We start from the raw sequence: 14,435 nt of genomic DNA on the forward strand, positions 1-14,435 counted from the left end.
CTGTGTGATATGGTGGAAAGATTTGAGATGGGAGCTGCCTGGCATGATCAGGGGCACTTAGAGAGCAATGAAAAAGGGCGCATAATGACAAGCAGTGAACAAGTCATCATAGCATCAATGTTCTAAGAGGGTCCTGACTGATACCTAAGCTTTCCAAATGCTACCACTCTAGAATCTCTTGTTAAGTACATGAGAAGGGTGTGTTTATGTATCTACAGGGGTAATACCCACCCCCTCCACAGCCATTCTCTACCCCTTCCACATCAAGCAGTCATTGGCTTATCTGTTTGAATAAGCACACACACATGACTAGATATTAAAGGGTAATTTTTATAAATCAAATCAGAAAACCTTGAGGCTGTACCAGGTATGCCCCAGTTCCATTCACTTTGCAACTGAACCATCTATTGATCCATCCGCCTAGCCATTCATCTAACAAAACTTTATTGAGTACCTACATGTGCCACTGTGTCAGGCACTGGGGATACAAAGATGAAAAAACACGTATTTGCTTCCCCTGGAGCTTGTACTTTAGTGGAAGAGAGACCGCGTATTTCATGATATTCAGGTAAGCATTTTGACAGAGTTAATCACAGGGTGTCACAGAAGCAGAGAAGAGGGGCCAGGCTTTGGGAACCAGAAAAGCCTTCCTAGCAAAGGTGACAATTGGGATTAACTGCTGTGAATCACTGTGGCAGATACTAATTACTCCCTGGTACCTGTCCTCTTTCTTCCTTCTGGTAATAGAACCTACAAGGTTTTAGCTGGGCCCAGTGACCAAAGATCCATTTTCCAGCCTCTTTTACATCTAGATGTAGCCATGGGACTAAATTCTAGTCAAAACAGGATATGAGTGGAAGAGATGTTTGATTATATTTTTCACAAAGGTATTTTGTTCTCTGCTTCCTTGTTCCTATGTGGATAAGGTGGAGGTGATCTGACTCTGACTATGTGGATAATACCCTAGGGGATGAAAGAGACGTAAGATACAAGGAAATGGGGCCCCAGGATGACTCTGTGGAGCAGAGGCACCTACCAGCCCTAGACCTTCCACCCATGTCTCACTGCAGCTGCCGTATGTGGGTGCCACTTTGTAACAGCAGCTTAACCTGTACCTTTACAAAATAGCTGACCACCTTCAGGCTCATATTTGCTGAGAAATACAATCAGATAAGATATTACAGTGTCCCCTCCCTTTTGGTAAGTATGATCTATAAGTAGTTGGTGGTCACCCTACTTTGATATTCAGAAGGATCTGGAGGTAAATGAAACATTGAATTCTGGTGAGAACTTTGAGCCCCAGTGAATGCCCATATGATATGTAGTTAGTGTTTCCCTGCTAGGCCTTCTATTAGGTTTCTACTTTGCGGCTAGATGTTTGGAGACAGAGTCATTTATAGTGATGAGAGAGGTGATGGAGCTTTGTTCTCAGCCTATGATTTGGGCCACCTGTCCCTCCCACTTACTTCCTGCGGATCTCTTCCCCTTGGGCTTGCCACTGCCCTTGGTAAAGCTATATATCATCTTCTCCAATTCAAAGATACATTCCTGTTCTTATTTCTGAGATTTTCTAAGACGCAGTACTCTTGAAGTTGTATCCCACTCACTCCTTTTGAATTATAGTCTCAGATTGTGGATCCTTTCTAATGGCATCTTCATTTGGTACATATTTTTAGAGCCTGCCATTGGTCCCAGTATTACCCTCAGTCCTCCTGTTCAACTTAAACCAATGGAGTAGGTTAGTTTGACCCAGTATCTGTCTTTCTGCATTGGTTCTCACTCAGTGCTCTGTTGGCATCATCCCCAGAGGAAGTTTCTGGCGTGCTTTATAGTTGGAGCTATATAACTGTCTTAATGCATCATGATGATTCTCCTTCTCCTTCTTCTTCCTCTTTGTCACATGACCAAGATCACATCTAAAAACTACTCTTTGGACTAAATATTAGAGAATGAAGACTGCCAAGGACTTCACTACCCTCCAATATTTCCAATGTCTGTCAGTCAGTGAATTAGAAGGCAGTTGGCTGTGTCTCCCCCAGAATATATCTACAGGCAATGGGGCAGGTAAGGTAGCATCTCCAGGGGATTCCCTACTCCATGCAATCTGCCTGCGTGAGCCCCAGCCCTTATGGACCAAAAAGGAAACAACTGCGGGAGTCATGGGAAATCATCTGTGGAACTAGATAGACTCTCAGACTCCTGCCCTCCTATGATTAGTGTCCCTAAGTCCTGGATGGCCTGGGGCTCCCAGCCCAGTCGATCTCTCTCTCCTCTGCCCCCAGCTGCAGTGCATGCCTCTGTGATACCACTGCTCATACTGTACTGTTTTATTTGAGAATGTGTCTCTCCCTCCTTCAAAGTGAATTATGTATCTTCATGTCTCCAGAAACTAGTACAGCACCTGGCACATAGGAGGGGCTTGGGAAGGGTTTGTAACATGAATGAATCCTCAGAAAGCTCAGCTGACACATTGGTTGCATACCCTTATGAGTGGCATCTGAACACCTAATCACAAAACAATCCAGTTTTGAAATTCTGGATGCATGTGGCATTCCATTATTCATCTTCACATATCACACCACAGCATGTGTGGTCCACTGCCCTGTTGCCTGTCATTGCTCATTTTCCCAGTCCTAAGAGTCTGAGACCTGCCTTTCCTCTTTGTATCCTTTGTTTGCCAACAGGTCTTTAGCTAGCTCTTGACCCTGCCTGCTCAGTGGCTTCTGGTTTCTTAGCTGAGGTGCTCCCTATTTCTGGCTGGATTCTATGAAGCCTCTCACTAGTCCCAGGCTCCCTTGGTTGGAGGGAGTGTGCAGGGATTTGGATAATATAGTGTGTGAACCAAATTGGAAAGCTGGTTGACTGGCATTTGAGGAAGACATCAGAATAAGAAATTTCAATTAAAAGACACTCCTCCTTAATTCCAGACTTCTACATCATTCTACACATGCCTCTTTTTCTCTTTCTTTCTTTCTTTCTTTTCTCTCTTTCTTTCTTTCTTTCTTTCTTTCTTTCTTTCTTTCTTTCTTTCTTTCTTTCTTTCTCTTTCTTTCTTTCTTTCTTTCTTTTCTCTCTTTCTCTCTTTATCTCTTTCTTTCTCTCTTTCTTCCTTTCTTTTTTCTTTCCTTTTTCTTTTCTTTTTATTTCTTCCTTTCTTCCTTCTCTCTCTCTCCCTCTCTCTCTCTCTCTCTATATATATATATATATGTATATATATGTATATAACATTATCAAATAAGTGCCTGGAAATTAACCCTCCTACTGAGCTCATTACCTGGATACCTGGAACTTTATACTGAATGCTCAGACAGCCCCATAAGCATTTGGACAAATCTCACCATAGCATCTCTAGGCCCCCCTGAGTCATAGGAGTCCTTGACTCAGGACTTTTCACAGTTTACAAGTACCAACAAGGCACTTTTTTTTCTGCTTAGGAAGAACATTTTCCCTTTAAATGTTTTGTTTGCCTTCAAGTCCATTTGAATACAAAAATACTATGGAATTCCATTAAGATAATGTCTGGGGCATAAGACACCAGGATAAAAGGCAGGAAATTGCTCTATTCTTTATGCAGAGCTCCAGGAGGAGCTGACAGTTCCTGGATAACTTCAGGAAGCAGACTGTTAAGAAAATGAGTGGGCCATATTTCATGCTGGCTTCTAGCTTCCCCTGGCTGTTTTTGTTAGGAGCTTAAGGGATTGTTAGAGCAATAATACACCAGGCTGGTTTCTAATGCTTTCCTCCAAATGCTGAAGTTTCCTAATTGTTCAACAGGAAAATTGTTCCTTGGGCTGAAAATACATTCTTAAGTCCCTTCAGGTAAGTTAGTGAAATGAGTAGAAGATCTTTGAGTGTGGGCCTTTTTTTTCTTTTTCTTTTTTTTTTTTTTTTTTGAGATGGAGTCTCACTCTGTCTCCCAGGCTGGAGTACAGTGGCATGATCTTGGCTCACTACAACCTCCGCCTGCCGGGTTCAAGCCGATTCTCCTGCCTCAGCCTCCCTAGTAGCTGGGATTACAGGCGCATGCCACCACACCCAGGTGAATTTTGTATTTTTAGTAGATACAGAGTTTCACCATGTTGGCCAGGCTGGTCTTGAACTCCTGACCTCGGGTGATCCACCCACCTTGGCCTCCCAAAGTGTTGGGATTACAGACATGAGCCACCACGCCTGGCCTGAGTGTGGGCTTTGATGATAGGTAACTTATTCAGAACAGGAAAGGTCTGCCCCTTTTCCTTGAAGAATGAATGATTTGGAATCTGGAGAGGGGAAGAGATTAATGCCTAGCCACACAGGGAGATTCCTGATTTTTGGTCCTCCAGCTTTCTCCCATCTTTTGTGCCCAACTTATGTGGAGATGTGTAGAAAAGTTCTCTACCAGAGTATTTTTCTTGGTAGCTGTTGGATTCAAGTCTTAAAAACTGTAAGGACCAGCTTGAGAAAGTTTCCTCAGGATAAAGCCAGAGAGAGTGTAGTCAGACTTAGAAAAGAACTTCTTGATATCAGGGCACTGGGATTCTGGGATGGGAGATTTAAGTAGGATATGGATTATTTGCACTAACTGGATTGTATTTTTAAAAGAATGCTTAAAAATATTTTTTAAAATTAAAATCTCCTTAAGCTGATAAGCAACTTCAGCAAAGTCTCAGGATACAAAATCAGTGTGCAAAAATCACAAGCATTCTTATACACCAATAACAGACAAACAGAGAGCCAAATCATGAGTGAACTCCCATTCGCAATTGCTACAAAGGAAATAAAATACCTAGGAATCCAACTTAACAAGGTATGTGAAGGACCTCTTCAAGGAGAACTACAAACCACTGCTCAACGAAATAAAAAAGGACACAAACAAATGGAAGAACATTCCATGCTCATGGATTGGAAGAATCAATGTAGTGAAAATGGCCATACTGCCCAAGGTAATTTATAGATTCGATGCCATCCCCGTCAAGCCACCAATGACTTTCTCCACAGAATTGGGAAAAAAAAACCTACTTTCAAGTTCATATGGAACCAAAAAAGAGCCCACACTGCCAAGACAATCTTATGGAAAAAGAACAAAGCTGGAGGCATCACACTACCTGACTTGAAACTATACTACAAGGCTACAGTAACCAAAACAGCATGGTACTGGTACCAAAACAGAGATATAGACCAATGGAACAAAACAGAGGCCTCAGAAATAACGCCACACATCTACAATGATCTGATCTTTGACAAACCTGACAAGAATAAGAAATGGGGAAAGGATTCCCCATTTAATAAATGGTTCTGAGAAAAGGCTAGCCATGTGTAGAAAGCTGAAACTGGATCCCTTCCTTACACCTTATACAAAAATTAATTCATGATGGATTAAAGACATAAATGTTAGACCTAAAACCATAAAAACCCTAGAAGAAAACCTAGGCAATACCATTCAAGACATAGGCATGGGCAAGGACTTCATGACTAAAACACAAAAAGCAATGGCAACAAAATCCAAAATAGACAAATGGGATCTGATTAAACTAAAGTGCTTCTGCACGGCAAAAGAAACTACCATCAGAGTGAACAGGCAACCTACAGAATGGGAGAAAATTTTTGCAATCTACCTATCTGACAAAGGGTAGATTGTATTTTTAGTAGATACAGGGTTTTGCCATGTTGACCAGGCTGGTCTCAAACTCCTGAGCTCAAGCGATTTGCCTGCCTCTGCCTCCCAAAGTGTTGGGATTACAGGCATAAGCCACTGTGCCTGGCCTTGAAAATATTTTTTTTTAAGTTTAAAAATATGGGTGAATTCAGAGACAATTATCAAAGTGAAGAAATATGAAGTTTATTTTCTCAAAGGCTTTAAAAGCTGAGAAAATTATGAGCTGTCTTGGGGTAGGTTATGTAAACCAAAAATAAAATTCTAAGTCCCCCAACCATCTGAATGGATCCCTCCTCTTGGAAAAGGGCATTCCAAAGTTAACCTGAAAAACTAGTTCAGGCTATGATGGGAAGGAGGAGGTAGGAGAGGCCTCATTATACCCTCCTCCCTTTTAGAATTATTGCTAGAACAGACTCTTTATGTCTGATAGGAAACATTTATAATCTATTCTCTCTGAAGCCCTTGCTACCTGGGGGCTTCACCTGCATGATAAAACCTTGGTCTCCACAACCCCTTATCTTAACCCAGATATTTCTTTCTCTTGATTCTAAGTCTTTAGAGAATAACTTAATTATCTCAATCAATTGCCAATCAGAAATCTCTGAATCTACCTATGACCTGGAAGCAGATCCCCCACCTTCCAACTGTCCCACATTTCCAGACAAAACCAATGCACATCTTACATATATTGACTGATGTCTAAAATGTAAAAGACCAAGTTGCGGCCTGACCACCTTGGACACATGTTCTCAGGATCCCCTGAGGGCTGTGCATTGGCCATGGTCACTCATATTTGGCTCAGAATAAATCTCTTCAAATATTTTACAGCATTTGACCCTTTTCATTGACAGTTATATGCCCTCAGTGGTGGGGAGACTGGGCCAGAGAGCTGGACAGATCTCATCCAGGACTAAGATGCTCAGACCAGCAGGCTTCTAGACATATCAGATGGCTCTTCCTTGGTTCTCAAGACTGAAGACTCAAAGATATGAATGACAGAGACACTACTGGAGAGAAGCAGAGGAACTCATAAATAGCTGTACCCTCTATTCCACTCCCCAGCCACGATGGATTCCAAGTTTCCAGAATATTATTGGCCAAATGAGTAAATAAATCAGCCATCAAAGCACAATGGAAATGGGAGATGATGGCGGTGGTTGAGGAGGCAAAGACCATCTCCATGTTCTCCCCTCTGTATTCTAGATGGAAGAAGATATTAATAAGCAGTGTATCCAGGGATGAAGATTCTGAAAAGGATTAATCTTCCAGATTAAATAAAAATTAGCTCCTTTAAGCATAAAAACATTTTGTTTTGGTTCCTTTGATTTGAAAACATTTTAACCGTATTATATACTTCTAAAACACAATTTAATAAAAGAAAAATTATATTTCTCTCTGCTTCAGAACAATAATATAGTAATTTCATGATACTTTTTTTCCAGGATGCTTTATAATTATGATGTAACTCTTCACATATTATCTCATTTAATCCTCACCACAACTTTATAATATAAATTATATATATTTGTATATATGTATACCCCCACCCCACCCCCCACACACATACATACTTCTCACTTAAACAGGTGAAGAAAAACTGAGGGTTAAAAAAATAAGAAGCAATGTTCTTTAAGGGCACACAGCTGGTAAAAGTCAAAGTCAGGTGTCAAATTCAAGTTTTTTGATTGCAAATTCATTGCTGAGCTTGCAGAGTGAAGGGCTCTTGACTTTCTCTCAGGGTACGGCTAATGGCAGGATCAGGAATCTGCTAAAAACATGGACACTGCGGACTGGACAATGGGGAATGCTGGGCATATGCAACAAGTTAGTGAATAAGGGAAGGAGGTCAGGGTAGTTTACGGAAAGAGCCTGGCGGAGGCCTGGGCCCCAGAGAAGGGAGGCAGCCAAGAGTTGTTTGCAATACCTAAGTGGGTATGCAAAGTTGGCAGGATGCTTTCTGGCATTGCCAACCCAGAAGGGCCTAAGCAGTGGGTAAGACATGGTGGAAGGAAGCGCTTGGCAAAGACAGGTACTATGGAGTGCCTTAGAACCAGGCCACAGCTAGAGACAGGGCTGCAGTGCAAGGAGCAGCGTCGAGACCCATGGAGCACAGACTGGGGTGGACAAAGCCCAGTGTGTGGGCTTAGGCTAGGCGGGCTGTGCTTCAGGGCAGGGAGCCAGGCCAACCCAAGGGCAGAGACCATGAGGAATGGGGCAGTAGGCAGGGGTCCTGACCTGGCCTGTGCAGCTGGGCCTAAGGCCCTGCAGGTTCCACAGCACACAAGCACCTGGACACAGACCACCATGGGATTCTTGTTAGGCCCACCCTCTAGCTTCCAGTTACTCCTAAAGCTGCAGGAAGAGGAACACGGAGGTACAGGCAGGAACTCCAGCAGACACCGTGACCATCATGAGTAATCCTTGCATGGACCCTCTGGAGCCAGCAGAGAATCAAAAGACACAATGGCAAAGAGTCTCAGCTGTGGACTCGACTCTCACTCATTAGCTGTGTCCCTGAACAGAGGAACAAGAGCTCCTGGAATGACATTGTCATAATAATGGCACCCATACTTCCCTTCAGGGTTAGCTGAGGGAGCTGATGTGATACCATATTAAAAAGTATACAGGGAAGCCCATACTTCACTCTTGAAGAGGAAATATGGTCAATTCCCTGATATCTACTTAACCTCGGGGATAGAGAGTGAAGAATTTGGATTTTGCAATAATTTCAATATAGCAGCTAAGGTATTGTGGACCTACAATGTGCCAGGCATTATGGTAGGTGTTATAGGAAAACAAGATGAGTAACAGCTTGGACTTTGGGGGTCAGCGGGGGCAGCTAACATCTAGTTAGGGGGACAAATGCACAACCAGTAATAATGCATAATACAAAGCAGAATGGAATGTGCACTGAAATGGGGAACATGCATGGAGCAGCTGCAGAGACTCAGAGCTGGGAATGACTCATGTGGACTAGTGAGGTCAGGAAGGGATTCACAGACCAGCTGGTGTCTGAACTAGGCCATGTAGGAGAGTTGTAATTGAGGGTAATAGCAGACTCCAGCCAGGACACCATAAACTGTGGGCGTGGGTCTTAAACCAATGGACAAGTCTCTAAACTAATGCTTGGAAACTTAATCTGCACTTCTAAAGCACCAAGGAAACATGTAATTTGCCTGTGACCAGATCCCTTTTAGACCCTCTGTTTCAGGAGCCCTGGGCATGGGACCTGCATGCTTGCATAGTGATAAAGCCCCCAGGTGAGTCTGATGAGCGTTTTTGGTTAAGAGCCAAATATACTAAACCATTTCCTCGCTTTAGCAGGCTTAAAAAATCTCCTGGAGATCTTGTTAAAATACAGATTCCTGGACTTTTCCCTCAAACATTCTGATTCAGGGGTCTGGAGTGAGGCCTGAGATTCTGCATTTCTAATTCCTTCTCAGGTGATGCTGATGCTATGAGTCTGTGGATCACTGTGATCACTAAAGCCATCACCTGCTCTTCAGTTCTTGCTGGGATAGTGGGACTCAGAGCTAAGAGGTGCCCTTGATTGGAAATGCTTTTGAAAACAAATGCATGCTTCTCTATCTTGGACCTTTCAGAAATCACACACACCCAATCACCTTGAAACTACCTGCCCATACAGGTGAAATAAGGACATGCCAGAGGAGTTCACAGCATTCACCTGTAGTCTCTGTACTTGCTTCCACCTGACTCTACTTCCCCTGTGGGCCCTGCTTCTCAGTTATGTTTCTGTTTCTACATCAAATCTGTATAACTCTCCTGAATCTTGCACATCATTTCCCCTGCCTAGGGGTTTTCAGGAATGTATTCTGGATCTTTTTATCTTCTGCCTCTGAGTCTAACCCCTGACAAATCCACCTGTGCTCAGCAAAGATACGGTTTGGTCACACCAGGCCAGGTAGCTCAGAGAACAATGGAGGTCTGAGCATGTTCTGTGTAATTCTCTCCAATACTCACTGTGGATAGATTCAGACAATGGCTTTGGCTCACGTTTGTCCTTTACGTGTTTTTGGTCAGCTTTATTTTTGAAAAAAAATATTGCTCACAGGAGCAATTTGTGATCGTTAGTGTGAGAGAACTCTTCTAAGACCTTTTTGTGTTAGGAGAAATTACCTAGTTGGGATTGTTGAGCTCACTGACTGGCCATGGGACTTGGTCATTTGAATGGGTTAGCTGTCGACTGATGACACCTGCTCTTTAGAAACTCAGCAACATAGGCCTTATATTGTGGGATTTCATTAATTATTTCTTTTCTTCTTTTTTTGAGTCAAATCATTTGTGTTAGAAATAGTAAGAGGTGAGATGCTAGAAATGAAGAGATAAATTGGATTTGATCGCCTGTACTTGATTTGCTCACAGTTATTGGCAGAGGAGACACACATACTGTAAATAGCTATACCACAATACTATGTTGTTAGTATTGTACAATGACAGTGCAGAGGGGGGAGTAATCATTTTTGGCTACTGGAAAGAAGGAATCTTTATGGAAGGAGATACTGCCTTTTCTCCGCAGGAATGGCCAGACTTTTGAGAGAATAACAATATCTAAGCATAACACAAGAAATATGTGTTAATTAAGAGGAGGCAAATGTGTCACATTTCTTATTTAACCACAATGAAGATTTTGATAATATTAATAGTATTAATAACAAATATCTATTGAATAGTTTCTGTATGCCAACCACTGTGTTAAACCATTTATATGCATTATCTAATTTAATGAAACACTCTCAACAGGTGTATGAAGTGATAGTATTTCCTCATTTGACAAATGAGGAAACTGAGGCTTAGAAAGATTAAGCAACTCACTCAAGGTCTTACAGAGCTGAAATTTGAACCCAGGAATTTACACCAGGGACTTTTCTTTTTTTTTTTTTTTTGATACGGAGTTTTGCTCTTGTCATCCAGGCTGGAGTGCAATGGCGTGATCTTGGCTCACTGCAACCTCCACCTCCTGGGTTCAAGCGATTCTCCCACCTCAGCCTCCCAAGTAGCTGGGATTACAGGTGCTCACCACCATGCCCAGCTAATTTCTTTATTTTTAGTAGAGATGGGGTTTCATCATGTTGGCCAGTCTGGTCTCGAACTCCTGACCCCAGGTGATCCACCCACCTTGGCCTTCCAAAGTGCTGGGATTACAGGTGTGAGCCACTGTCCCTGACCACACCAGGGACTTTTTAACAGGGATTGCTTGCTAAACACCCACCATGCACTGGGCACATTGTGTAAGTTACCATTTTAATCTTTAAAACAACCCTAGAAAGTAGGTATTATGGCACCATCTTACAGGGGAGGATGCACATGCTGAGAGGTGAGTTTTGCAATTTTATACAGTCATTATACAGCTAGGAGCAGAAACCAGGTCTGTCTGAGCTCTAAAACTCATCTTCCTTTGACCTTGCCAGATTCTTGCCTCTTAATGAGATCCTTTGATCTCTTCACCCAAAGTGGAGATGATAACCATGGGTGATCCAGACAGGCTGCCTGGGGAGAGCCTGCAGAACATCTTGGCAATGGAATGATTACTCCACGTTGGCTTCTGGCTGGATGGAGGTGCTTGCCTAGAGAAGGAAGGAAACAAGAAAACATGGGGCACACAGGGGCCAGGAAGGAGGTGAGATGTTGAAGCCACTCTGGTAACTGACAAGGGATGAGTTTGGTGGGGTGGTGGGGTTTTGGCTGGGGGTTTGGAGTCCAGGAATTCTGGGCCCTAATCTTGACTTCTAATCCTGGCCTCAAAACTGTGGTAATCTTGGCCTATTTGTTGTACTTCCCAAGCAAATAGCTCAGCAAATGAGCTCAGTTTTCTCAGCTGTAAAATGGGAATACTAATAGTTTCCTGGTATGGTTGCCACGATGAATAAATGAGTCAGCCGGGAGCACAGAGTCTGGCCATAGGCATGCAATAATCAATAAGTACCATCTTGCTGCCTGTTTACTTTGGCTCCTGCTGGCTTTGATCAGGCTGTAAAGAAAAAGAGGCTAATTTCTTGAGCAGGAAGGATCTGATTCTAGCCAAGGAGGCCCTGGGGCAGGGACTGGCATGGGGGACTATGGCATAATATCCATCTGTTCGGTTCCTTCTCCAGGCGAGAATGCTGGTTTCTGCAGCCTTCATCCAAGCACTAAATCCACCTAATTGGTTTGAAAAGCACTGGGTGGATAAACATCCCATCGGCTTACCACTGTAATAATGCCAGTGACATTTATTCCTGAGATGAAGGATGCAGAATGAATGGAGATCAGACCCCAGGTACTCTGCTATAAATGACAGCCTAGACAAGGCACCCCCTGAGCCAAGAAATGCCAGCCTTTGGAGGCGGGGACTTGGGGATGCATCAAGCAGGAATGAGTACCACGCGGGGCTTCTGGACACTTAAGGAAGAGCTTGCAGGCTGAGTTAGGAAGTAGATCAGATTTGCCCATGACCTGGAGAGGTGGAATGAACACGAGAACATTGTGCTGGGCAAGTTACTGAATCTCTCTGAAACTCTGGTTCCTGTCTATGGGTTGAGTACCTCATGATGTTCTGGACATGAATGAGAAATAAATGAGGAACCTAGCCCTGTTCCTGCCAAGCTCCAGGTGTTCCAGTATTGTGAGGTTTTCTTTTTATCCTTTCACATTTTTTCTTTCTCCAGATCTTCTTTCTCCTGAAACCACCTTTTTCTTTGCTCCAAAGATCCCAAGACCTGTCCACCCCCCATCACGTACCCATGAGGGCACCCCCTTCACCCATTCATTCATTAATACCATTTTAAAATTCATTCGTCAATTATGTTTTGGTCAGGCAAAATGTGCCAGATTTCTAGCCAGGTACCTGGTATACAAAGATAAATCAGACCTCTACTCTGTCCTTGAGCTGTTCAGAGGTTAATGGAGGACAGGACTTTGAGTCAGACAGAGTCCTAACAAGAAACAGATGGCATGCTGGATGTGGTGGCTTACGCCTGTAATCCCAGCACTTTGGGAGGCTGAGGCAAGCGAATCATCTGAGGTCAGGAGTTCAAGACCAGCCTGGACTACATGGTGAAACCCCATCTCTACTAAAAATACAAAAATTAGCCGGGTGTGGTGGCACACACCTGTAGTCTCAGCTACTCGGGAGGCTGAGACAGGAGAATCCCTTGAACCTGGGAGGTGGAGGTTGCAGTGAGCTGAGATTGCACCACTGCACTCCAGCCTGGGTCACAGAGCACGACTCCTTGCATCCCCCCGCCAAAGAAAAAAAGAAAAGAAACAGATGGCATACTAAGAGTAAGGTAATTTAAGCAAGGCCTCTTTACAAAGGGACTAGTGAGAAAGGAATGGGTGTAACCAGCAGCAGCATGGCTGTCACCACCTCTAAGTCCAGGGATTCAAGGGGGAACGGAAGAGAACTGATCTTGGAACCTAGCAACAGAGGGGCGTGCACAGCAGGCCACCTTGAGAGGGGCAGGCGCACAACCAGCCCAAGGTAACTTCCCAAGGAGGGAGCCTGACTTTGCCCTTTCTTCCCTCTGACATTTTTGGGTGCTCCCTGTTGTCTGGCCTGACCAGAAGCTCAAGGGCAAGGGAGCCTGTTGATTTAGTCCACAAAGGCCAGCCTCCTATGGCAGAGGGCAAGGTGACAGAGGGTGGAGAGTGGGTTTGGAGGGACAAATGCAGTATGTACAGTGTGTGGGGTATAACTAAATATGGTTGCGTGTGACCTTAGAATGGTTAGAGGTAGGACTAGGGAGCCCTAGCCGGAAGTGAGCAATTCCCACCAGTCCTTTCTATCTCACCTGATTGCGCTGCACTCTCCAATTCAAAGGGCTGGAGTTGATCGTCCTGCCTCCAGGCTGTCCACCTCCAATCCTCTCCAGGATGGTTTTTTGTTACTCTCCTACCTCCACCAATGCTAGGAAGTGCACATTTTCCTAAATACTCAACACCCTCTTCTTGGCCTTTGAACTGCTATCTTTCATCTCCACTCCCCAACCCAGCCTGAGACACTCTTTCCCCTCCTCATTTCCTGGAACTCTCTGCTGCCCTTCGAAAAGTCATAACCTACCTAAACATTCAGAAACTTACAGAGAGTAAAAATTAGACACCCACATCCCCACCCCCCAGTATTTAACAAATGTTGAAATTTTACCATATTTGTTTCAGGTCTTTTTTTAAAAAAAAAGAAATAAAATATTGCAGATACAATGGAATCGTATGTTGTACTTCTACTCCTCCTTGTAACACTATTTTGAAGTTAGTGAGTGTTCACCTATCTGTGTTTTTTACACTTTTCCTAGATATCACTGCTTTAAAATTTCTTTAAAATAATTACCATTACATTATAAATATCCTTTTAAAATCTTGCTTTTTGCACTCAACGTTATGTGAATGTTTTGTTGTTTTGGCTTTGTTGGTTGGACATAGTCTTAGGACTTTTTATTGACTTCCTTCTAATGATGGGGGTTAAGTAACGATGTCTGGTTCACTCTTGATTTAAGAAGAGTGGCTTTCACTGAAATTTCATAAGAACCCAAAATTGCAGTAATTGCCAAGTCTTTTGCAGCTCCTCACTTTTTCAGTGTAACAGCGTGGCTGCTCGCATCCCTGTAATCTTGCTATGAGGGAAAGCAAGCGGCCTTATCTGAAACAGAAGCAAAGGTGGCTGCTGCAGCCCTCCCCCATCCCCATCCCCTGGAGGTCTCCTCCTCCCTTCCTGGGGTGAATGCTTGCCATCTGATGATCTCCAGCCGCTGCCCATAAACACTGGCAATTCTCTTGCAATTTTGATCCATTCTCCACGTCTAGC

The 14,435-nt window shown here is 43.5% G+C and overlaps 1 protein-coding gene across 1 annotated transcript in view, besides 1 other annotated feature; it reads right to left on the minus strand.

Moving 5' to 3' along the window:
• Window positions 1–14,435, minus strand: part of ASIC2 (acid sensing ion channel subunit 2) — a 1,143,682-nt gene that overhangs the window by 448,411 nt on the left and 680,836 nt on the right. The gene's annotated exons all lie outside the window — the stretch shown is intronic.
• Window positions 7,325–7,825: an enhancer, noted in NCBI's record as "H3K4me1 hESC enhancer chr17:31795840-31796340 (GRCh37/hg19 assembly coordinates)". NCBI's record gives its function as "activates a minimal SCP1, AML or CMV promoter by ChIP-STARR-seq in primed H9 embryonic stem cells {active_cell/tissue: H9 hESC(primed)}" and the evidence as "EXISTENCE:reporter gene assay evidence [ECO:0000049][PMID:30033119]".

Source organism: Homo sapiens, chromosome 17 (assembly GCF_000001405.40).
Source record: "Homo sapiens chromosome 17, GRCh38.p14 Primary Assembly".
NCBI lineage: Eukaryota > Metazoa > Chordata > Mammalia > Primates > Hominidae > Homo > Homo sapiens.